The sequence below is a fragment of the Homo sapiens genome, chromosome 17 (genome assembly GCF_000001405.40).
Source record: "Homo sapiens chromosome 17, GRCh38.p14 Primary Assembly".
Classification (NCBI taxonomy): Eukaryota; Metazoa; Chordata; class Mammalia; order Primates; family Hominidae; genus Homo; species Homo sapiens.
Window position 1 is genome coordinate 50,631,941 of NC_000017.11, and position 24,561 is coordinate 50,656,501.

General features: G+C 50.2%; 1 protein-coding gene across 2 annotated transcripts in view, besides 4 other annotated features; it reads left to right on the top strand.

Moving 5' to 3' along the window:
- Positions 2,911 to 2,960: a silencer, noted in NCBI's record as "silent region_8706". NCBI's record gives its function as "represses an Ori minimal core promoter by ATAC-STARR-seq in GM12878 lymphoblastoid cells {active_cell/tissue: GM12878}" and the evidence as "EXISTENCE:reporter gene assay evidence [ECO:0000049][PMID:35858748]".
- The window catches only part of ABCC3 (ATP binding cassette subfamily C member 3), a 57,373-nt gene continuing 35,752 nt past the window's right edge, over positions 2,941 to 24,561 (top strand). For both annotated transcript variants that reach the window (NM_003786.4, NM_001144070.2), the window contains exons 1-2: positions 2,941 to 3,041; positions 23,892 to 24,068. In NM_003786.4, the coding sequence (NP_003777.2) occupies positions 2,997 to 3,041; positions 23,892 to 24,068 (222 nt within the window). In that variant the 5' untranslated portion in view covers positions 2,941 to 2,996. The remainder of the gene's footprint in view (positions 3,042 to 23,891; positions 24,069 to 24,561) is intronic.
- Positions 6,691 to 7,890: an enhancer, noted in NCBI's record as "P300/CBP strongly-dependent group 1 enhancer chr17:48715992-48717191 (GRCh37/hg19 assembly coordinates)". NCBI's record gives its function as "activates an origin of replication core promoter dependent on BRD2, BRD4, P300/CBP, MED14 and CDK7 cofactors, with strong dependence on P300/CBP, by STARR-seq in HCT116 cells {active_cell/tissue: HCT116}" and the evidence as "EXISTENCE:reporter gene assay evidence [ECO:0000049][PMID:35650434]".
- Positions 8,340 to 9,110: an enhancer, noted in NCBI's record as "H3K4me1 hESC enhancer chr17:48717641-48718411 (GRCh37/hg19 assembly coordinates)". NCBI's record gives its function as "activates a minimal SCP1, AML or CMV promoter by ChIP-STARR-seq in naive H9 embryonic stem cells {active_cell/tissue: H9 hESC(naive)}" and the evidence as "EXISTENCE:reporter gene assay evidence [ECO:0000049][PMID:30033119]".
- Positions 8,788 to 9,082: an enhancer, noted in NCBI's record as "tiled region #2475; K562 Activating DNase unmatched - State 8:EnhW". NCBI's record gives its function as "activates a minimal TATA promoter and a strong SV40 promoter by Sharpr-MPRA in K562 cells {active_cell/tissue: K562}" and the evidence as "EXISTENCE:reporter gene assay evidence [ECO:0000049][PMID:27701403]".

Consider the following 24,561-nt stretch of genomic DNA (forward strand, 5'->3'; position numbering starts at 1 on the left):
GGGCAGTGCCCACTGCTGGGACTGTACTTAATGCCACAGTGGCCTTGTTACCTATGACTCCTTCTTAGGAAATGAGGTGTTTGCTTAATCAGTCAACAACACTTCCTGAGGACCAACTTCTCCAGGCACTGTCCTGGGTGCTGAGGATACAGTGATAAACAAACTTCAGTCCCTACCCTCAAGGTGTCCACAGTCCTCTGGGGGAGGTAAGCAAGACATCAGTGATTACAAGTGGGGGAAGCCTCCTAGCCCAGGACTGGGTTGGGGAGGTCCAAGGAAGGCTTTGACGGGGAGGGGGGCTTGAGCGAACTCTTGAAGAAGTTTGCCACTTGCAGAAAGGGAGGTAGGGTGTAGGTAGGAGAGTGCACCAAGCAGCCTTGAAGACAGATACAGGAAGTGCATCCCGCTCAAGGAGACTGCGCAGAAACAGTCTCCTCGGCAGACGTGGGGCGCCTCCTGCGTGTGCTGGGATAAGCTCTGTGGCGCTGAGCAAGCTGTAGGGTGTCTCAGGGCCTCAGATTTCTTGCTCTGGTGAGAACAACCAAAACAATAACATCCTAGAAATATTGTGGTTATTATTCAAGGGCTCTGTGAAAGGGGACACACTTCCTGAGTGGCCTGGAGGGGTAAAGCCCCAATACCTCAAGAGAGATGGGGGAAGGTGAGGATCGCTAAGGGCCCCCACCACGCCCTCAGAGTGCCCAACCCAGTGCTATAGCCTTGGGAAAGCAATAGCGATAGAAAAGCCTGGGGCTGCAAGGGATGGTGCTTCAGCTCCGATGCTGAAGCCAGAACCCAAGGGTCCTAGCCCAAAACTAGAGCTCCAGCCAGTGCACTGCCTGGCCAACTGTGGGGCTGGAAAGTCCCGGACGGAAGCTCAGGCTAGTTCTGGGCTCTCCATCTCAGAAAGGAGGTCTGATTGGGGAGCTCACCTCCCAAAGGGCCCTAAAGGAAAGTCCCCAGGTCTCCTCAAGCCCAGAGCAATCTGGTGCCTATGACCCCACAAGCCCTAGAAAAGGAATGGGAGAGGAGGGAGAGTTGGAGGAAGCCGGTGGGTAGACAAGGTCAAAACACAGGGGCAGTGGGTGCTGATGAAGCCATGACCAGGGTCATGGAAGGGGTGGAGGAAGGTTCCCAGCTGCCTAGGCCATAGAAGCCTGGCCCACCAGGGCTGGAAGAGAGCTTAGATATCACCCTGTCCACGTTTCTCAAGAAATGAAGTCCCAGAGGCATCAAGGAGCTTATTGAGATCACACAGTGTATAAAAGGTATGGAGGGGGATTGGAGGGGACTGAGTTAGTCCCTGCCCTTGGGGACCTCTCAGATTAGCAGGGAAGACAGACTCTTCATAACTAAATATAATCCAAGGCACGCCGTAACAAGGTGTAAAGCTCTGTAAAGTATTTTGCCCAGAGATGAAGGTAGGGGGACAGGAGAGGGAGGGTATGTGTGGATGAGTGGAAAGGAAGAGGGCAGACAAAGAAGGGGCTGAAAGAACTTGCCCAGTGGAGGGGTAGAAGTCCCTGGTCTGACTGCCTGGGAAAGGGGAATCTTCTCCACTCCCACCCCTATCCCATGCCCAGCCAGATCTTGGTTCTGATAGCCTATAGCCAAGGAGACTTCCCTTCTAGTGACCTCCTGGCTGCCCAGAGAGATAGGAGGTGGCTTGCCCCTTCTGCACTCTTACTGGCTCCCACCCACACCTGCCGCTGAGCAGCCAAGGAAGGAAACACCTTCTCTTGAGAACAAGGGCCAGAAAAGGGGTCACCGGGGTGAAACTGGACAGACCTGTGGGCAAAGGCAGGGAAGAGAAGGGCCAGGGAAAGATTTGCCAGGGAGAATTCCTTCTGAGCCCCAACAAGCGGTGCTGAGTTGGCGTCTGGGATTGTGTTAAGGAAGACAGGGCAACAGCGGGATTGAGAGATGGAGGGATCCCCGCATCTGAGGGGATACCGGGAGAAGGAGAGCTGAGGCAAGCAGGAGAAGGAGAGCACTGACAAGCCCATTTTACAGATCAGGAATGTAGAGTTTCAGCCTTAGGAGGAGGACGAGGACGAGGACACTCACGTGGGGCTCCTCCTGGGGCTTCACCTGTCCTTCCCCCCCCAACCCTGATCAGGCTGAAGCAGAGGGAATTCACACATGTTGGGTGCCCACTAAGTGTGCCAGGAAATACGCTTTGCCTACCCTTTCCATTCAATCCTCAGAGAACCCTGGGAGGAAGATTCTCTTCTATGATTGTCTCTATTTTACGGATGTGAAAGTAGAGGCCCAGAGACGTGCCGAGGTGATGTGGCAAGGTCAGGGAGCCACAGAGCCTAAGAGGGCAGCAGTTTAAGAGGACATAAGAGGCCCCCGCTGGACGATGCTGCGGCCCCCACCCCCGCCTCACGGGTACACACCCGCGGAGCACACCCCGTGTGCTCCCCGTGTGGCGCCTGCCAGTGGTCTCTGGAACCTGATGGGGAAGAGGTCAGCTTCCTGATTGAGCACAGAAGCCCTTCCCATTTTACAGATGAGGAAACTGACCTCCGGAGAGGAACGTGACCTTCTCAAAGATTCCTTTTTTACTAGGAAAGATTGTTAAATCCCTCTCCCTACGTCCCCTACTCAATGACTCATCGGCCCCACGGACTTGTTCGGGAGTGGGAGCGCCTGTGTATCCCAGTTCCCCCTTGGAAATAGACTCGACTCCTGGACTGTTAGCCTCGGTATTTAGAGAGACATCCCCCTGGCTTGGCCCAGGGGCCGCTCGCAGGGGCTGTCGCCGTGCCAAGGGCCCCCCCACCTCTGCCCCAAAGTCCCTCCCAGGGAGGCGCTGTCGCAACCCGCGGGACGGGGGCAGGGAGACCGGACCCAGAGGCACTGGGGTAGGGCTCGGCAGGGCGGGTCCGGGCGGAGCGCGGGGTGCGGAGGGCGGAGGCGGCTCCGGCGCCCGCTCTGCCCGCCGCTGGGTCCGACCGCGCTCGCCTTCCTTGCAGCCGCGCCTCGGCCCCATGGACGCCCTGTGCGGTTCCGGGGAGCTCGGCTCCAAGTTCTGGGTAAGGCGCGGGGCTCCGGGGTCACTGCGCGGGGGCCAGGGTCGGCCGGCTTCGCCCGGTCCCCGCCGCCTGCCTTCCCGCGGGGCCGGCAGGTATCCCGGGACGGAGCCCCTGAGACGGCCTGGGCGCCCGGGAGGGGGCGATGGGCTCGGGAGGGAGGTTGGCTGCGCCGCCCGGAGCCGGGTCCCACGCGGTGTCGGGGACCTGCCCTGCTCTGCCCTTCCCGGCTGCAGCACTGGGGAGCCCGGGAAAGTGAGGAAGAGTGCGCGGCTGGGGCGCAAAGGCACAGTGCGTGGCTGGGTGAGTCGGCTCCATCCCAGCCCCTCCGTCGGGTGCGGAAGGGGCGTTTCGCAATCAGCCGCGGGTTCCTGATGGAGGGTCTTCCCTCAGCATCTGCCTCAGGTTAGGACTCGGTTGCCCACCTGGGCATGGATTGCCCCCAGGGCATCCAGAGCACCTGCTCAACCAGGTGTTTTGGGAGGCCGGCTGTGCAGTGTCCCACCCTTCTTAGGAAGGTTTCCTGCCACCTTCTTTTCTCTAGGTAAGACTGAGGTCTGAGAGCAGGCCATCCCCACCACTCCGGACTCAGAAGGGAGAAGCAGACCCCAGTCTGGAGACAGGTGCAGGGTGTCAGGATTCCTGTAGTCCAACTCCCTTCTCACAGATGGAGAAAGGGAGGCCCAGAGAGAGGAAGGGACTTGCCCAAAGTTACCCAGTTCAATGAAGGCAGAGCTGGGATAGAAAAACAGGCTACAGGCCAGGTGCAGTGGTTCACGCCTGTAATCCCACCCTTTGGGAGGCAGAGGTGGGAGGATCACTTCAGCCCAGGAGTTTTAGATTACTGTGAGCTATGATCGCACCACTGCACTGTGGCCTGGGCGAAAGAGTGAGACCCTGTCTCTAAAAAAATAAATAAATAAGAAAAGAAAATCAAGCCTTTGGTGACTCTCACTCCAAATCTCTTTCTAAGACAGGCTGCTCTTCAGCCTGCTGACTCCAGCCTCCAGCACAGTTCAGGTGAGCTAAGTGCATACAGCCTAGGAGCTTTCTTACCAACTTGCAAAACTTACTTGCCTCTATGAGGCAAGTGATCATGTGGTCTCCGTTTTACAGAGGGAGCTCAGATTAAAGGTGCTTCTCTGTGGTCATTAAAGGGGTGTCCAGGGCTTGTGAATCCCAATCTCTAAGTCTTTTCCTATTTTGAGTATTTGTACATATATGCCCTTTGTGTGTGTACGCACACACGCAGGCACGTGGGGTGTTACCCAAGAGTTCGTGCTGTGCACGTGTGTGCACAGGTGTATAAGTCTGGAGCTATGCTCTTGGGCTGTGTTTAGAATGGGCTGAAGGCGTTATATGGATTTTTTGAAACTTGGGGCAATGGAGGTAAAAAAAAAAACTGTAAAAAGGCATATTTGGGATTCTCTCTTTTTCTGTGGGTGACCCAAAGGTTAATCCGAGATGGTGCAACTTCTCTGCCACTGCCCTTCTTTCCCAGTCCCACAGGAACTTCATGTATTATTCAGCATGGACAGGCCACTTGCCACCAGGGTCCAGAGGTTGTGCCTTTGCCTCATGAGCACACTTCCTTTCACTGCCCTTTGGGCCAGGCTGGTATGACCGTGGCAGGTTTGTGGTGCCTGGGATGCCAAACAGAAAATCAAGAGGGTAGTTGTGCCCAAGCTTCAGGCACAAGGGCTCATTGTTCCTGGGTAGCCTCCTGAACCCTGAGAGCTTAGGACTCTACAGAGACAGGTCTCCTGGACCCCAGAGTTGGGAAATTCAGGACTCCCTTTTTGTCCCATGTTCAGACATCCTCTGGCTCTACCTTAACATGGGATTGTGGAATCCAAGAAAGTGGGAGCTTGGGAGTTTGAAGCAGCGAGTCCAACCCCTCAGTGTAGAGCTGGGGAAACTGAGGCCAAGGGAGTGAAGGTCACAGGACAATCAAAGACAGAGTGCTGGGCTGGGAAACCGGACCCCGGGGCTGTGGTTACAGGGTTGCCATTGCCTGGCTGTGAGCCTTTGAGCCTCTGGGCCCTCTGGCCCGCGCACTTCTCCTTGATGCTCGTGAGCTATACACACCTCCTCTGAGGATGCAGGCTCAGTGGGAGTCAGCTCATCTACATTATGAAGCCCTCGTGAGATCTCTGCTTGGATACCTTAAATGGCAAACTGACCACCCCCCTTCCCACCCCAATCTCTAAACATCTTTCACATTCTCTTCTGGCTCCTGAAAGCTGTTCCAGGCTGCACCCAGTGTGGCTGGTGACTGGGGAAGGAGCGTGGAGAGAGAAAGGAGGCTCCCAGCTCATCCTCTGAGGGAATGACAGGGTTTGTACAGCTGAAAGGAGAGAGAGTCTACACTGGAAGCTGGATCCTCTGCCACAGCCTAATTACAAAAAAGGCCTGGAGTTCTGGGCTGTTCATTTGTGATGTGCTGTGTTGCATCTCATTTGCATGGTGTATTATTAAGGCACAACTCCCCCTGAACCTTTACCTTAGGGGCCTGTGGGTGACCCACTTTGTGGGAAGTGGTTCAGGGCAGCCCGGAAGTACCTGAACTAGGAGTGAAAATGCAAGGAGGGGGTGGGGTGTTCAGGCCCCTCTGGGCCGCTCATTTAATCTACCAAGATGCTCAGTAGCTCATCCTTATAGCTTCAGTTTCTCCACCAGTGGAATGGGAAATAACCCAACCCCTACCCACCTCACAAGATTTTTCTGATCAAATGAGACAGGGAATGTGGAATGATTTTAAGAACTAAGAAGTTTTCTATGGGTGGCAAGTTCTGACATTCCCCGGAAGAGGGAGGAGAAAGAAAAATGGGGTTAGAAGAAAATGTCAGACGTGGGAAGACCTGCAGGGAAAGAGCTGGTAGGGCTGTCGGGCCAGTGGCTCCCATTTCAGCTGTTTGCTGGGGAGCTGGGAGCTGTTCCTGGCTCAGTCTGAGGGTAGGAGACTGGAGAGGACCATGCCCCTTGGGACATGTGTACACACATCTGTGTACTCACACACCACCTGCCAGGTGAATGATTTGTGTGAATCCTTCTCTCTCTCACCCATATCGACTTTGAAGCAGGTTACCAACTTCCCTGAATGTGCCTTGGGAGTTTTTGTGGAAATAAATTCCAAAAGAGTGAACTGTGTAATTAAACCACCTCACTACTCAGGAGGCCAGAGGTGCCTCAGAACAAGGGAGGAGGTGGGATCCTCTGCCTGCAGGATTCCTCTCTGTTCTGAACCACAGAGGTTGGGAGCACCTGGGTGGTGAAGGGAGTATGTGGAGGAAGGGCCTGGAGGTATTTACCCCCCGCCAGATAAACACCTGTTGGCAGAATTAGCCTTGATCTGACAGCCCCAGGAAGCTTAGAAATCTGAAGATCCTGACCATGAAAGCCATCCAAAGATGGCAAGGACCGCCTGAGAAGTAGTGAGCTCCCTGTCACTGGGGGGTATGTAAGGACATGGTTAGTGACTGCTTGGCGGAGATGCTGGAGAGAGGATTCAAGCCAGGAAAGAAGGTGGGGTCCTGAGATTCTGTGACTGGGTAGAGGGAAGATGCGGCCAGTGGGGATTCATTAGTTCCTCCTCTGAGATTTCTGGACTCCTCCTTCCCTGGCTCTCTCCCTGCTCTACATACGGAATTTGCCTAGAAGCAGCTCTTGGTAGAGGCCTCTGGGTCTCCCCTTGGTTAGGCCCACATGGGAAAGGTGACCTCATTGTTCCCTTAGCTGTTTACCCATCCTAGGGAGGGGCAGATCCCTGGTCCCTTGGAGGCTCAGCTCCCTGTGTCTCCTGCTCTGTTTTAGCTAGCCCCAATTCTGCTATTCACCAGCTGTGTGACTTTGGGCAAATGACTCACCTTCTCTGGGCTCCAGCAGGGCTGAGGTGGGCTCTGGGGCCTGCTTCAGGTCTGGAGTTGCCCAATTTTGGAAGGATGAGCCTTGGGCTTGGGGGCGAAGGCTATGCATGATTAGGGCCCTTCAAAGCTTAGAGCTCCTGGGTATCAGGGTCTCCTCTGCCTTCTTAGTAGGCAGCCACAAAAATGTATGAGTAATGGGCAAGGCTCCTATGCCAATGTATTTTGACTCACAAATGAAGACAGTGTCCTGCACATCCATGGGGAAGCTGAGTGGGAGGTAGACACTCCTCCGCTTAGCAGACACCATAGCTCACCCTCCCCTCAGGAACCCAGTCCTCCCTGCAAGGCCAGAGCTCCCGGGGCTCCTTTCCTCCATCTCAGCTGCTGCAAGCAAACCCAGTGCTGGATGGCTTTGACCTCTGAGCTCTTGGCTTCTGGCTACGGCATTTCATTGCTTGTGGCCTCAGGCTGGCTTCTCCTCAATCCTGCTGTTCCCCCACTTCACCTGGGCCTTAGGTCCCTGAGGGCCAGAGAGATACGGGGAAGGAAGTGAGTCAGGGAAGTGGCATTCAGGAGGGAGCTTTGCCAAGCCCGCCTGTAGTCCCCAGACAGGGAAATGGTCTTGAAACACTGGGCAGGCTTCCAGGGAGGAAGGACTTGGCAGGGATGACCAGCTGAGCCACCCCGGAGTAGGGCCAGAGCACCCGGACTGTATTCAGTCCTCTCCATTGGGGCAGGATCCCTGGGGAGTTGGGGGTGAAATGAGACCTGGTATGCCATTGCTGGGGTGGCTGGGCCCCTCCCCTTCCCGAACTGAAGTTGTTTCTGTTTCTGGTACTGCGGTGCAGTGGTTGGGGCTGGCAGGGGGCAGGGTGGGATAGTGAATGAGAGCCTAACTCTAGGCTTGGATTTTGGATTTCTCCTTTTTTTTTTTTTTGTGACAGAGTCTTGCTCTGTCGCCCAGGCTGAAGTGCAGTAGCACAATCTCAACTCACTGCAACCTCCACCTCCCAGGTTCAAGCAATCCTCCTGCCTCAGCCTCCCAAGTAGCTGGGATTACAGGTGCACACCACCATGCCCGGCTAATTTTTGTATTTTTAGTAGAGACGGGGTTTCACCATGATGGCCAGGCTGGTCTCAAATTCCTGACCTCAAGTCATCTGCCCACCTCAGCCTCCTAAAGTGCTGGGATTACAGGCGTGAGCCACCGCATTCAGCCAGATTTCTCCTAACTGGATATTCAGGTTTCTAGTCAGGGGCTCCCAGAACCCCAGCTAGGCCACTACCCAGGTGTTAGCCGCTCTGCTCCCTCAGCTCTGTGAGAATAATTGCAAAAAGCAGGTGATATGAGAATGGGCTGCATGGCTGAAAGGTGATCTGGGTGCAAGTGCTCTATCCCCAGGGTGGGACATCATGCCGGAGTCCTACCAGGTGTACAGGAAACACTAATCCTGTGGGAAGGAGCTGGGCCCTGGAACAAAACTCTCTGGGTCTAATCCCAGCATCAGCCCTGGGTGTCAGCTGTCATGAGCGTGAAATGATCATCCTGGCCCACAGCAGGAGCTCAGTGAACCAAAGCCCCTTCCAGAAGCACATTGGCCAGTTGAGCCCGTGAGCCATCCCTGCAAGGGGCCAGCAGGCGCAGCACAACCAGTTTTTGTTTGTTTGTTTGTTGTGTTGTGTTGTGTTTTTGAGAAGGAGTCTCGCTCTGCCACCCTGGCTGGAGTGCAGTGGCGTGATCTCAGCTCACTGCAACCTCCGCCTCCCAGGTTCAAACAATTATCCTGCCTCAGCCTCCTGAGTAGCTGGGATTACAGGCATGCGCCACCATGCCTAGATAATTTTTTTAAATATTTTTAGTAGAGACAGCGTTTCGTCATGTTGGCCAGGCTGGTCGCAGACTCCTGACCTCAGGGGACCCACCCTCCTCGGCCTCCCAAAGTGCTGGGATTACAGCACAGCCAGTTTTTGACCCCTGCCCCCAGGCCTTCCAAAGGCTGAGGGAGGGTGAGTGGGGATCAGCACGTGTCCTTGCTCTCTCCACGCCTTCATTGCTGCTGAGTCAATGGTCTTGTCTGTTCATCCCTTCCCTATCTGGGACTTCAGGAGCTGCCCTGCAGTGGTGGCTTCCTTCTCCAGTACCACACAGGAATAGGGAAGTAATGACTCTTCTCATGACAGAGACTGTCAACAGGCCTGGGGCCCCCAGGGCTTGGGAAGTCCCTGGCAAAGCTGGGGCAGAGGGCTCCGGGGTCCTCACCCCCCGCCCCCATCGCCTGTATGAGTCTGCAGTGATTTCAGCTTCAGTGACCATGAAGTCTGCCATGAGGGGGCCTCTGCCACGTGGTCCATTCTGGATGTGGGACCTTACCCCTTATCAGCCCCATCCAGCTGTTTAATCGCATTATTAAGGAAGCTGTTGTTGCTGTGGAAACTGTGTGGGTGATGGTGGGGGAGGGGGCTGTGGGCTCAGCTCTCACCTCCCAGCAGTGCTCTTCAGAGCGGGAATGAGAGGAGAGCCTTGAGTAGGGATCGTCATCCTGCCCTGCAGGGATTCAGGGAGTGTTACAGGGTCCAGGGAATAACCTTCACTGGCCCTGTCCTCACCTTCATTTTACACATAACTGAGTTGGAGACCCTTCTGGGTGCCAAGAACTGTGGCCTTGGTACCAGGGAGAGAACACTGTGTTCCTGGGCATGAAGCTGCAGAGGCTGCGGCTGGAGTTGGCACCCTCCATTTATCTATTCATTTGTTTATTCATTCTTTTGTTCAATAGATGGTTATTGAGTACCTTCTCTGTGCCAGGCCCTGCTCTAAGCAACAGGAAATACCATCAACTGCAGAATACAGAGCTAAAGAATCTGTCTTCGTGGAGCATATACTCTAGTGGGAAGAGGCAGTAAAACAAGAATCATAAAGGCCAGGTGCAGTGGCTCATGCCTGTAATCCCAGCACTTTGGGAGGCCGAAGCAGGAGGATCACTTGAGCCCAGAAGTTCGAGACCAGTCTGGGCCACATAGTGGGACCCCATCTCTACAAAAAAATTAAAAAATTAGCTGGGCGTGGTGGCACATGCCTGTAGTCCCAGCTACTCAGGAGGCTGAGGCAGGAGGATCGCTTGAGCCCAAGAGGTCAAGATTACAGTGGGGAAAAAAAAAAAAAAAGAACAGTTGAATGTGGCACTGTCATGCCGTTCAACCTGTAATTTGAAGGTAGAATGGACAGGGTTTGCTGAGAGACCGGATGTGGGATGTGAGAGAAAGAGAAGAATCAGGGGCAACTCCAAGGACTCTGGTCTGGGAAGAGAGACAGGAGGAAGGAACTGCCATCCCCGGGCCAGGCAGGCTAGAAAGGCAGGGACGGCCAAGAGCTCAGTTCTGGACGTGTTTTGTATGACGTGTCCCATAGTTGATGTCCTAGCTCAGGGTCTGGAGTGAACCAAATAGGGAGTTAGGGGTGAGGGCCTGTGTGGGCGGGTACCCCCTGCCTCCTAGGGAGGGCCCTGCCCAGGTGGGACATGCTTATCTCAAGGAAAGGAGCCCAGGCTGAATGCCCTTGAGGGTCAAAGCAGCCACCCAGTTCTCACAGCCCCAAAGTCCCCTGGTTGTTGCCACAGAGCAGGTGTCTGCGAAACCAAAACACGGGCCTGACAGCTGGAGGCTCCATCACCCGCTTCCCTGAGTGTTGTCCCGTTGCCATCGAAGTGCTTTGCTGTTCATTCTCCCTCACCTTCTCCCCGCTGTGGGGAGGTGACCAGATGCTGTCATCACTCCCATTACTCACAGGTGGAGACTGAGGTTCAAGGGCACGAAGGGGCTCACCAACAGTTGCATGGCTCAAAAGTGGCAGAAGCCATCCTGGATTCTCCGCATCGGGGTTGGGTTCTTCCTGTGGCCACTCCCCACCCGCCTTACAGAGCCATGCCACCGGCCTGCAAGTGCACACAGCGATTCCCACCATGTCCCCACGCCTGGGCTCCTGTCCTCAACATGCACACTCCCTTGTGAGTCAATGGCCCCGTGTGGCATCACAAAGCCTGGGTGCCTGTCCCGGCCACACACTGCTGGGTGTCCTTGAACCTGTTGCCAAAGTGGGTGTAGTTTCTCTTTTGTACACTGGGCCTAACAGTGCCCCTCCTATATACCCCTGGAAGTTGTTCTGAGACAACATCCAGATAACAACTAGGTAAGTGCAGTAATAAAATGCGGGAGAAACATTAGGGGCCTTTATTTTCCTCACTTAACTGGCTGCCAGGGAAAAGCAAGGAAAGGTCAGAGGCTGGGGTGCCCCAGAGAGGCCCCATGTAGATGAGGCTCTGGCTGGGCCCAGAGAAATGGGATGTACACTCCGGCCCAGAGACCTGAAGATCTGGGTTCAGGGCAGCTTTGGGACAGGCTATCTGGATGGCAACTAACTGGAGTACCTGATCAGGCCTAGAGGTGTGTCCTGTGACCCAGTGTCCAGGCCTGGGCCAGCATGTCAGAGACTCAGCAAGAGTATGTGGGTCCTTGGCTCACATTGTTTGAGCAACTACTGAATACTGAATAGGACTACTGAATACTGAATACTGAATAGGACAAGATGTACATGGTACAACTTCTGCCCACCTGGGCCTTCAATGAAATGCCCCCAGGCAGCATGTCCCTGACTGCATGCTTCACAGAGCAGGGATAGGCCTGCCCAACGTGCCACTGTATCTGCAGAACCCAGCCCACTGCCTGACTCACCAAGGCCCTCACCAAACATTGTCAAGGCCAAGAGTGACGCTCCAGGGAAGGGGATCTCTCTAGGAGGAAGGGTGCTCAAGATGAAGAAGGTGGGTTTTCAGCCAGGCCTGTCACCCCTCCCTGGAGTGGTTAGGTTAGGATTTTGACAAGTGGTAAAAAGAGGGACTAGGTTGAGCAAGGGGGTAGGAGCAAGAATCTCAGAGCAGATTTAGGATGAAGTGAGTTGGCTGTGGGGGAAGGGAGCAATGGGAAAGGAGGTGGGAGGAGATGCCATGGGGGGGGTCTTGAGGACCAGGTTGGGTGCTAGGATGTGGCTTCATGAGCAGCAGGAGTCACTGCAGGTTTGTGGGCATGAGGCAAGAGGCACAAAGCTGTATTTTGGGAAGAGCCATCTCGCAGGTGGGCAGGGGCACTGGAGGGCAGAGGGCTGCCCCAGATGGGATTAAGAAGGGAAGGCAGGCCAGGCACAGTGGCTCACGCCTGAAATCCTGGCACTTTGGGAGGCTGAGGCGGGCGGATCACAAGGTCAGGAGTTCGAGACCAGCCTGACCAACACGGTGAAACCCCGTCTCTACTAAAAATACAAAAATTAGCTGGGCGTGGTGGCGGGCATCTGTAATCCCAGCTACTCAGGAGGCTGAGGCAGGAGAATCATTTGAACCCGGGAGGTGGAGGTTGCAGTGAGCCAAGGTCACACCACTGCACTCCAGCCTGGGTGACAGAGCCAGACTCCGTCTCAAAAAAAAAAAAAAAAAAAAAAGGAAGAAGGGAAGGCAGGCTGGGGAGGTTGGGGAAAGGAAGCAGGGAGTGCAGATCACTCCCCTTCCATGAGTTGTTTTCTTAAGATGCTAGAACTTGGCCAGGCATGGTGGCTCACCCCTGTAATCCCAGCACTTTGGGAGGCTGAGGCTGGCAGATCACTTGAGGTCAGGAGTTCCAGACCAGCCTGGCCAACATGGTGAAACCCCATCTCTACTAATAATACAAAATTTAGCTGGGTGTGGTGGTGTGCACCTGTGGTCCTAGCTACTTGGGAGGCTGAGACAGGAGAATCACTTGAACCCTGGAGGCACAGGTTGCAGAGAGCTGAGATCGTGCCACTGCACTCCAGCCGAGGTGACAGAGTGAGACTCCGTCTCAAAACCAAAACAAAACAAAAACCAAGGCCGGGTGCAGTGGCTCATGCCTGTAATCCCAGCACTTTGGGAGGCCGAGGTGGGCAGATCACAAGGTCAGGAGATCGAGACCATCCTCGCTAACACGGTAAAACCCCGTCTCTACTAAAAATACAAAAAATTAGACGGGCATGGTGGCGGGCGCCTGTAGTCTCAGCCAATCAGGAGGCTGAGGCAGGAGAATGGCGTGAACCCGGGAGGCGGAGCTTGCAGTGAGCCGAGATCACGCCACTGCACTCCAGCCTGGGCGACAGAGCGAGACTCCGTCTCAAAAACAAGCAAACAAAAAAACAGAAAACAAAAATTAGCCTGGCGTAGTGGCATGTGCCTGTAATTCCAGCTACCCAGGAGGCTGAGGTGGGAGAATCGCTTGAACCCTGGAGGCAGAGGTTGCAGTGAGCCAAGGTCGCACCACTGCACTCCAGCCTGGGTGACAGAGCGAGACTTGGCCTTAAAAAAAAAAAAAAAAGAAAGAAATTAACCAGCCGTGGTGGTGCACGCCCGTAATCCCAGCTACTCAGAAGGCTGAGGCACGAGAATCACTTGAACACGGGAGGCAGAGGTTGCAGTAAGCCAAGATTGTGCCACTGCCCTCCAGCCTGGGCGACAGAGCAAGATTCCATCAAAAAAAAAAAAAAAAAAAAAAAAAAAAGATGGGAGAACTCAGAACTCAAGCATATAGATTATTCAACAGTTCACATAGCCAGATAGTTCAAGGCCAGCTGTGGGCTTTGAATGCCATAGTAAAATGTTTGAACTTTGCCTTCTAGGCAGTAGGGAGCTACTGAAAGTTTAAAGGGATGGTATACTATTATTCTTTCATTCATTTATTCAATAAACGTGTATGTGTGTGTGTGTATTTTTTTTTTAAGAGTCCAGGTCTTGCTCTGTTGCTCAGGCTAGAGTGGAGTGGCATAATCATGGCTCACTGCAGCAACAAACTCCCGGGCTCAAGAGATCCTCCCGCCTTAGCCTCCATGTAACTGGGACTACAGGTGCCTGTCACCAGACCAGGCTAATGTTTTACATTTTTGTAGAGACAGCGTCTTGCTATGTTGCCCAGGCTGGTCTCAAACTCCTGGCCTCAAGTGATGCTCCTGCCTTGGCCTCTCAAAGCACTGGGCAATGTCCCTGGTCTTCAATAAATATTTGATTTATTTAAGCAAATCTTTTTTCTGAGCACCTACTATGTGCTAGGCACCATTCTAAGTACTTAGGATACATAGATAAATAAAATAAAGGTTCTTCCCTTCAAAGAGCTTACATGTCAGCAAGTAAAGGAAAAGATGAGAGAAAATATAATAAATCAGTAAATTATATATCATGTCAAAAGGTGATAGGTGTTATAGAGAAAAGAAAAAGCGGAGAAGGGTGGGAGAATTGGGAATACAGGGGTGGGACACAGGTGGCAGTATTAAACAGGATGGTCAGGGTAGGCTTCATTGAGAAAGAAAGACTTCAGGATGTCTGGGGGAGGAGTGTTCCAGGAAGAGAGAAGAGCAAGTGCAAAGGCCCTGAGACAGGAGCAGCAAGTGCATTTAGAAACAGCAAGGAGGCCAGTGGCTGGAGTGAAGCAGGAAAGGCGGGGAGAGGGTCATGGGTTGGGGGAAGGGACATTGTGCAGGTCTATGCAGGCTATTGTAGGGTGTATGGAGTGAAGATGTCAAGTCAGCAGTTAGATATGGAGCTGGAGATTTGGGGAGCAATGAGCTGGAGAGATAGACTTGAAAGTCATTGGCATATAGATGGTACATCATATCATCATATGAGACTGCATGGGATTGCCAAGAGGTTGAGTGCAGATAGGAAGGAGGCAGAGAAGAGGAAAGGACTGAGCTCCAGGACCCTCTTGCACCAGGCAGGGGAATCAGCAAAGAGACTGTGATGGCATGGCCAGAAAGGAAGGGGAAAACCATGCAGGATCTGGGACCCCAGGGAATCTGAAGGGAAGAGACCAGAAGTCTATGGCAATTGCTCATGAAGAGATGAGGGTCTGGCCAAGGGGCCAGGTGGGAGGAACCAGGTAAGAGATATTATCATCCCAATGTTACCCTTAAAGAAACCAAGGCCCAGAGAGGGGAGAGGTTAAGAACCTGGGTCAAGATCACACAGCTTAAGTGTGACTTCTTCTTTTTATTTTTTATTTTTTTGAGACGGAGTCTCCCTCTGTCACCAGGCTGGAGTGCAGTGGCACAATCTCAGCTCACTGCAACCTCCGCCTCCCGGGTTCAAACAGTTCACCTGCCTCAGCCTCCCGAGTAGCTGGGATTACAGGTGCCTGCCACCACGCCCAGCTAATTTTTGTATTTTTAGTAGAGACGGGATTTCACCATGTTGGTCAGGCTGGTCTCGAACTCCTGACCTCGTGATCTTCCCACCTCAGCCTCCCAAAGAGCTGGGATTACAGGTGTAAGCCATTGTGCCCGGCCAAGTGTGAGTTCTTTTAAGCTGTGTGACCTTGGCCAAGGTGCTTAACCTTTCCCTGCCAAGTCTCAAACACCTCTTTGTCCAGCTACTATGCTTCCATCAAGAATCAATAGGACCTATGTCCCTACAGGTGTCAGGGTAGCTGGCAGAATGGTGATGCCCTTGGCAGAGGCAGGCAAGGCCAAAGGAAGGGCTGGTTCTGGCAGGGAGTGAAGGATCTTACTTTGAGAGGTATTGAATATGAGGTGGCTGCAGACAGATGGTGACGCCATCTGAGAGGCAGCAGGAAGTAGGCGCTGAGGCTCAGGAGGTGATTTGAGCTGTTGATCTGGATTTGGGACTCCTCAGGACAATCTGTGAACAATGATGAGAGAGAGCACCAAGGACCAAGGTCTGAACTTGGGAGCTAGGGCCCATGTCCACAGGGTGAACTGGAAGGAAGATAAGGAGACAGCAAGGAATGCTTGCCAAGAAACCAGGAGACCAGGAAAGAGTAGTTTCCAAGAGATGGGGGAAGCCCACACTGTTGCAGGGAGGTCCTGCATAAAGTCTGAAACGGGTCTATTTAATTCGCCCTTGGAGGCTGGGCATGGTGTCTCACACCTGTAATCCCAGCACTTTGGGAGGCCAAGGCGGGTGGATGACCTGAGGTCAAGAGTTTGAGAACCAGCCTGGTCAACATGGCAAAACCCCGTCTGTACTAAAAATACAAAAATTGGCCGGGCGTGGTGGTGGAAGCCTGTAATCCCAGCTACTCGGGAGGCTGAGGCAGGAGAATCACCTGAATCCCAGAGGCGGAGGTTGCTGTGAGCTGAGATCACACCACTGCACACCAGCCTGGGAGACAGAGCAAGACTCTGCCCAAAAGAAAAAAAAAAATTGTAGTTGGAAGGACTTCTGGTTCTATAGGGTGGATTGAACACAAGACTTTATCTCCAGTCCTTCCTGATTTTCCATCAAAGTGACAGTAAGGAATAAAGAATGTAAACCTACAAGGACAAAGAGAAGAGGAGACAACAGCAGACAAGATATTAACACCTTTTTGGAAAGTGAGAAACAGGTTGAGGAGTGATCACTGACACAGCAGAGAACAACTGAAACCAAAGGCCATTTGGAGTCTGTAAAAGCTCGGGGATTGGAGGGCTGAAGGAGGCAAGGGGAAGAGCAGGGCTGAAAGCAGCGGCTGCTAGGAGAATGCATAAGGAGAGATGAAACACCCAAGATACTTATCCATCTCCTCTCAAAGCCAGGCAAATTCCAGCCACCTCACAGAAGACCAGCAGTTTATTCTGTGGAATTAAGTAAAAGTCTGCATACTGAAGGATAGAACCCTCAGCCCTCACTCCTAAATTGGTCCCAGAGAAAAGACCTCCAGATTCTTCCAGTTGTTGGGGGAGTCTTCCCTAAAGGACCAGGTTCCTACTTGATCACTCTGCAGTGAAGCCCAACAGCCAATAAGCTTGGTCCTCGGTACTCTGTCTTCAGTAGCTGTTTCTTGGTCCTTGGTCCTTGGTACTCTCACTCATCATTGTTCACAGATTGCCCTGAGGAGTCCCAGATCCAGTCCCAAATCCACCTGCCCCCAACACACAGAGCAGCCAACTCTTTAGTGTCTTACTCCAAAATATTGAGACAGCCAAGCCGCAAGAATCACCACAGGTCGGGTGCAGTGACTCACGCCTGTAATCCCAGCACTTTGGGAGGCCGAGGCAGGCGGATCACTTGAAGTCAGGAGTTCGAGACCAGCCTGGCCAACATGGCAAAACCCCTCTACTAAAAATACAAAAATTAGCTGGGCATTGTGACACGTGCCTGTAATCCCAGCTACTCGGGAGGCTGAGGCAGGAGAATTTCTTGAACCTCAGAGGCAGAGGTTGCAGTGAGCTGAGATCGTACTACCACACTCCAGCCTGGGCGACAGAGGGAGACTCCATCTCAAAAAAAAAAAAAAAAAGTCACCACACATTTGAGGAAAAATTCTGTTAAAATAAAAACTTTAGACAAATTAAATTTAGCAGAGTTTATCTGAGCAAAGAACAATTCATGAATCAGCCAGCATCCTGAACCAGTAGAGGTTCACAGAGTTTTACCACCCAGCAGTATGGGCAGGCAGTATTAATGGACAGAGAAAGGAATTGATGTATAGAAACAGCTTGATTGGCGACAGATCAGTATTTGCCTTATTTGGGCATGGTGCAATGAGGTGTTTGCCTTATGTGGACATGTTCTGATGATCTGGCAGCTTGTGATTGGCTGAAAATTCTGCTATATTTGGCTGAGACTTGGCTGCTTATTGTAAGAATATACTCTCAAGTTACGTTGCAGTTTGTTTACATATTGAATTATGCTACAGTCCACTATGTATGGAGTCAGCTTTATACCTGGGTGACAGAGTGAGACTTTGTCAAAAAAAGAAGGAGAGGAGAGGAGAGAGAGGAGAGAGATGAGGGGTGGGGAGGGGAAGGGAGGAAAGGAGAAAGGAAGGAAGGAAAGAAGGAAGGGAGGGAGGGAAGGGAAGGAGGGAGGGAAGAAGGGAAAGAAAGAAGGAAGGAAGGAAGGAAGAAAGAGAGAGAGAGAAAGGAAGGAAGGAAGGAAATAGGCAACACATAAAATAAATTTTTTTAATAGGATCACAGGTCACTGTGAACAATAGCCGTTCATTAAATGACTTCGGAGGCATATACAAAAAGTTACATAGTTGTAGAAAAAGCTTAGCTGTTTTAATAGCGAGTTCTCAGTTTTCTTAAGTGATCAAAAACCTAACAAAGACAGCATGAAGCACAGGAAATTATCTGGGTAGAACACAGAATCTTTGTTTTCTAGGCCAACTACCTAAAGAGAAAGAAAAACATTTTACAATTTCCTATTATGATCAGACCAATAATCTAAGAACACCATGTTGTTTTAATGGAGAGAACCAAATTCTAGTTTTGCATCAGTGTAATTTTGATATTAATGCTAGCTCTTATCGCCCAGGCTGGAGTGCAATGGTGCAATCTCTGCTTACTGCAACCTCCGCCTCCCGGGTTCAAGTGATTCTCCTGCCTCAGCCTCTCAAGTAGCTGGGATTACAGGCGCCTGCCACCACACCCGGCTTATTTTTTGTATTTTTAGTAGAGATGGGGTTTCACCATGTTGGCCAGGCTGGGCTCGAACTCCTGACCTCAAGTGATCCACCCGCCTCTGCCTCCCAAAGTCCTGGGATTACAGGCGTGAGCCACTGCACCCGGTCGCTAACTTTTATTCTTAAAAAACTTGTAAATAATTACCTCCTAATCTTAACCAGCTTGATCACCCATAAAATTTCTTTCACAAGATTCATCTTCCACAAACCTCCTACAACTCTTATATCCATTCACTTTTTGTCCTATACTTTCCTCTTCTCATTTTCGAAAAATCAGTCATTTCACTTTAGGACAAAATTTATTCTCTTTTTCCGTTATCAAAACAAAACATCCTCACGTCTTATAGCTTTTCCTTAGCTTCCTTTGTATATTTCTTTTTCATATATTCCTTTTTCTTACCTTCCTTGTATATTTTCATATAGATTTTCCCCCTTATTGTTTCTAGTAATTGTAGCTACATATATTAATTAGAATTCTTAACCCCGGCCAGGTACAGTGGCTCATGCCTGTAATCCCAGCACTTTGGAGTCCGAGGTAGGCAGATCACTTGAGGGCAGAAGTTCAAGACCGGCCTGGCTGACATGCTGAAACCCTGTCTCTATTAAAAATACAAAAATTGGCTGGGCGTGGTGGCGGGCACCTGTAATCCCAGCTACTGGGGAGGCTCAGGCAGGAGAATTACCTGAACCCAGGAGGTGGAGGTTGCAGTGAGTCAAGATTGAGCCACTGCACTCCAGCCTGGGTGACAGCGCGAGACTCCATCTCAGAAAAAAAAAAAAAAAAAAAGAATTCTTAACCCTTAGTGACCTTAATTTCCATGGACATTAGAAAGTAAGCATTTGTGAATTGTGTGTCACACCAGCTGTAGATTGGTAAATCTATGAACCATAATGTCTAGAAGCATGAGCTTTCTCATAGTACAATTTGTCAGTGTGGCACAGAACATGTTTCTCAATGGTCCAAAATGTCTTTAAGTCTCTCTGTAAAAATAAACTGTAAAGGAGGCAAAATTTCATTTGTATCCCTTTAGGTTTTTTGTTTGTTTGTTTTGTGAGGCCTGAAAACTAAATTGTTGTTTGTACAGATTTCCCTCCTCCTCAACTTTCTATTCTTGATGCTAAGAGTGTTAAAACCTTCTGGTGGCTGAGCGTGGTGGCTCACGCCTGTAATCCTAGCACTTTGGGAGGCTGAGGCAGGTGGAACACTTGACCTCAGGATTTCGAGACCAGCCTGGGCAACATGGTGAAACCCCATCTCTACAAAAAATACAAAAATTAGCTGGATGTGGTAGCTTGTGTCTGTAGTCCCAGATACTTTGGCGGGGCTGAGGCGGGAGGATTGCTTGAGCCCAGGAGGCAGAGGTTGCAGTGAGCCGAGATCTTGCCACTTGCACTCCAGAGTAGGCGATAGAGACCCTATTTCAAAAAAGTAATAATAAAACCTTCTGGTATAGGAAGGACATCTTTTACATGGGAATTTTATCTTACATTCATTTAACTCACTTATTTTCAACACTTATGCTTGGATTGCCTATAAAGATGAGATAATAAACAACTAGTCATCATTTTGTTTTTCTTGCTGACAAATTTTATAATATAAAGACAACATAAGCTTGTTTTACCAGTAAACCTAGATAGGAAATCATGCATCTTTATGATATTTAATCCCCAAAACTATGAAAACATGTCTGTTTCAGTCAAACCAACAATATTCTTATTTGCCAAAGATTACCCAAGTCAGATGAGCTGCAAAAGTATTTGAGGTAGTTCTTAATTTTCTGAGAGAATACTTCATTTATACAAGCACTTATTTTTCTTAAAGCCAACAAAATAGAGCTCTTTCATAATTTAATTTTGGAGCATTAAAAGGAGATAAGAAACTATGATACCTGTATCATACATACAGACTTATATAAACATAAACAGCAACAGATCTTACAGCTTTCATTTAAATATCTTAGCCATGTTCCAGGTACAGTAATATAAAACTCCTGAATTTATTAAAGACTATCTGGATCCAAATTGTTCTTCTGGCCAATGGAACAAGATTTCTTGCCCAGATGACTAAAGCTTTTGAATAAGATTCGTGAAGGAGCTTTTAAGATTTTTTTGTTTGATTTCTGTAAGGAACCTATTATAAAGAGGCAATTTTTTATTCATTTAATCTTTTAGATGCCTCTGTGTATCAATTAAAGAATGCATCCCATTGCTTTTGTGGCATTTTTGAACCTTTCTTTTCTAATGCACCTTGCAAGTGAACAGTTTTATCTAGGTCAAAACTTTCCCACTGTGGCCACTGTAACTCTTAAGTTGTCCTCAGCAAAGTTAACCCATTTTTCCAAAAATACACATGTTCCTCATAATTGTTGTTCATGAAGTTAGCCACCGTCCCAGAAAGTGGCGTCTCAGACTCTGGAGTCCCAGACTCCTTAGATTTGGAGGAACTCACTTTCAAAAGGCACCTGCCTGAGGCTTTTAACTGGATCCATTTCAGTTAATTATCAGATCTGATTTGCTCCTGGACCCAGTCCTACTTGACCCAGTCTAAGAATTGTTCAAATAAACTTGGAGAACACAAAACACAAATTCCTGAAGCTTGGAATCTGAGATAGAACTCACCCATGACCTCCAGTTGCTACAAGAGAACAATTGGCACAGTGTGCCCTGTCAGGTACCCTTACTTGGTCACTAAATGCTCCTGAGGGTCACTGGAGTTCTACTTCCGATCCCACTTCTGACACCAATCTGTTAAAAGAAAAGCTTTAGGCCGGGCACGGTGGCTCACGCCTGTTATCCCAGCACTTTGGGAGGCCGAGGTGGGTGGATCACCTGAGGTCAGGAGTTCAAGACCAGCCTGGCCTACATGGTGAAACCCCATCTCTACTAAAAATACAAAAATTAGTCAGGCATGGTGGTGGGCGCCTGTAGTCCAAGCTACTCAGGAGGCTAAGGCAGGAGAATTGCTTGAAGCTGGGAGGTGGTGGTTGCAGTGAACCGAGATCACGCCATTACACTCCAGCGTGGGGGCCAAGAGCGAGACTGTCTCAAAAAAAAAAAAAAAAAAAGAAAAAGAAAAAGAAAAAGGAAAAGCTTTAGACAAATTTAGCAGAGCTTATTTGAAAAAATAAGCAATTCATGAATTCAGCAGCATGCTAAACTAGTAAAGACTCGGCTGGGCGTGGTGGCTCACACCTGTAATCCCAGCACTTTGGGAGGCTGAGGCAGGCAGATCACCTGAGGTCAGGAGTTCAAGACCACCCTGGCTAATATGATGAAACCCCATTTCTACTAAAAATACAAAAAAATTAGCTGGGCGTGGAGGCACACACCTGTAATCCCAGCTACTCAGGAGGCTGAGGCAGGAGAATGGCTTGAACCTGGGAGGCAGAGGTTGCAGTGAGCCAAGATCACACCATTGCACTCCAGCCTGGGCAACAAGAGTGAAACGCCATCTCAAAAGAAAAAAAAAAAAAACCTAAACCAGTAAAGGCTCAAAGAACTCCACCTAACCATGTGGTCAAGTAGTACTTACAGAGAGAAAAAAAGTGACACATAGAAATAGCCTATTTAGAACTCGGCATTTGCTTTATCTGGACAGGTCTAAGCACTTTGCAGTCTGCGATTGGCTGAAAGCTCAGTTGCAATGATTGGCTGAGACTCAGCTACTTGTTACAAGAAACTCTCATGTTAGGTTTGTTTACATATTAAGTTGGGTTTCAGTTCACTATGTAAGGAGGCAGCTTAAGGCCAAATTTAATCTAATTTAACACCTCCAGCTTGAAAGACAAAACCAAACCAAATCAACCAAGAAACAGAAAAAAGAAAATTCAAAGATGTATGAGCATGCATAACTTTGATAAAAATAAAAATAATAATTATTTGAATTGGCAATTAGAAAATAGTTATATCCTCAGGTAACAGATGTCTCTAGGTGGATGAGATTGTGGGTGGTTTTTCTTGTTGTTGATATTTTCTGTGCATCTCTAAAAAACATCTAATGCTTTGCAAAGAACATAAGAAACAGATTAGTACATTAGTGGCCTTGGAGGAAACAATCTCAGTAAAACATGTGTTTATTAATGAATGTATTCCCCCATCCCTTTCCAAAAAAGTTCATAGGTGTAGTTATAGTCAAAGGTAAGAGGCAGTCTTGTCAGAGCCAGTAAAGTAACCAACCATCCTGGTTTGCCCAAGACCAAGCAGCTTCCCAAGACACTAGACTTTCAGTGCTAAAACCAGAGAAGTCCCATCCATACTAGGAGAGTTGATCACTCTAGTCTGTGTAATTTGCAAAGACTCTCCATATCCTTTGGTTCCTGTGAGTCTCAAATCCACCCAGTGAGGTACAGGTGGGCCGGTGGATGGTCACCTCCATTTCAGAAGAGAGGCAGCTAAGGCTCAGGGAATCTCCCTATCCCTGACCCGGGAAAGGCCTTAAGAGAAAGTGGTCTTTTAAACTGTGTGTATATATCACTTTGATAAAATTAAAAATTAGTTTTAAAGAAGAGAGAGGGCCAGGCGCAGTGGCTCACGCCTGTAATCCCAGCACTTTCGGAGGCCGAGGCGGGCAGGTCGTAAGGTCAAGAGATCGAGACCATCCTGGCTAACACAGGTGAAACTCCATCTCTATTAAAAATACAAAAAAAAAAAAATTAGCCGGGCGTAGTGGTGGGCACCTGTAGTCCCAGCTACTCCAGAGGCTGAGGCAGGAGAATGGCGTGAACCTGGGAGGCGGAGTTTTCAGTGAGCCGAGATTGCGCCACTGCACTCCAGCCTGGGCGACAGAGTGAGACTCCATCTCAAAAAAAAAAAAAAAAAAAAGAGTGAGGGCCAGGCGCAGCCGTCACGCCTGTAATCCCAGCACTTTCGGAGGCCGATGCGGGCAGATCACGAGGTCAAGAGATCGAGACCATCCTGGCCAACATGGTGAAACCCCGTCTCTACTAAAAATACAAAAATTAGCCAGGCGTGGTGGTGGGCGCCTGTAGTCCCAGCTACTCAGGAGGCTGAGGCAGGAGAATCGCTTGAACCCGGGAGGCAGAGGTTGCAGTGAGCCAAGATGGCAACACTGCACTCCAGCCTGGCAACAGAGTGAGACTCTGTCTCAAAAAAAAAAAAAAAAACAAAAACAAAAAAAAAAGAGTGGGAATCCAGAATGATAGAAAGAAAATGAGCCTGGGAGGGATGAACTGCAGAGGACCATAAGGTAACATGGGAGCAGTTTTGCAGGTGTATACAACTGTCAAAACTCACTGATTGTACACTTTAATTGGGTGCAGTTTTTGTTGCCCTTAAATTATGCCTCAATTAGAGAGAAAGAGAGAGAATATAAGGAAATGGGGGCAGCCATGGCGTCCTTGGAGAATTCACACTTGGGACGACAACTGCTCATTTGTGTACTCTCTCCTCCTCACCTGTCTTCCACTCCACCCCTGTCTCTGATGGAACATCTCTCCAGCTAAGCCATCTTCCTCAAGGCAGCCCAATTCTCTGTGGGGCTGCCACAGCACTAAACTGTTCTCTGTGTCCCCAGGACTCCAACCTGTCTGTGCACACAGAAAACCCGGACCTCACTCCCTGCTTCCAGAACTCCCTGCTGGCCTGGGTGCCCTGCATCTACCTGTGGGTCGCCCTGCCCTGCTACTTGCTCTACCTGCGGCACCATTGTCGTGGCTACATCATCCTCTCCCACCTGTCCAAGCTCAAGATGGTCAGTGGCTCAGGGATCTCCTACCGATGGGGCTGGGCCCTGGGGATTCTGCTTTTATTTTTTAATTTAATTAAATTAATTAATTAATTAATTTAGAGACAGAGTCTCACTCTGTCGCCCAGGCTGGAGTGCAGTGGCATGATCTTGGCTCACTGCAACCTCTGCCTTCTGGGTTCAAGCGATTCTCCTGCCTCAGCCTCCTGAGTAGCTGGGATTACAGGCATGCGCCACCACACCCAGCTAATTTTTGTATTTTTAGTAGAGATGGGGTTTTGCCATTTTGGCAGGCTGGTCTCCAACTCCTGACCTCAGGTGATCAGCCTCCCAAAGTGCTGGGATTAGAGGCATGAGCCACTGTGCCCAGCCAGCATTCTGGTTTTAATGAGGCCCTCTCCCACCTCCTCGGCTGGACTGGGTTCCCCAGTCTCACCTGACCTGCTTGGGGTCATGGGAATCTGACAACTGAGAATATATACAGCCAGCTGACATATTC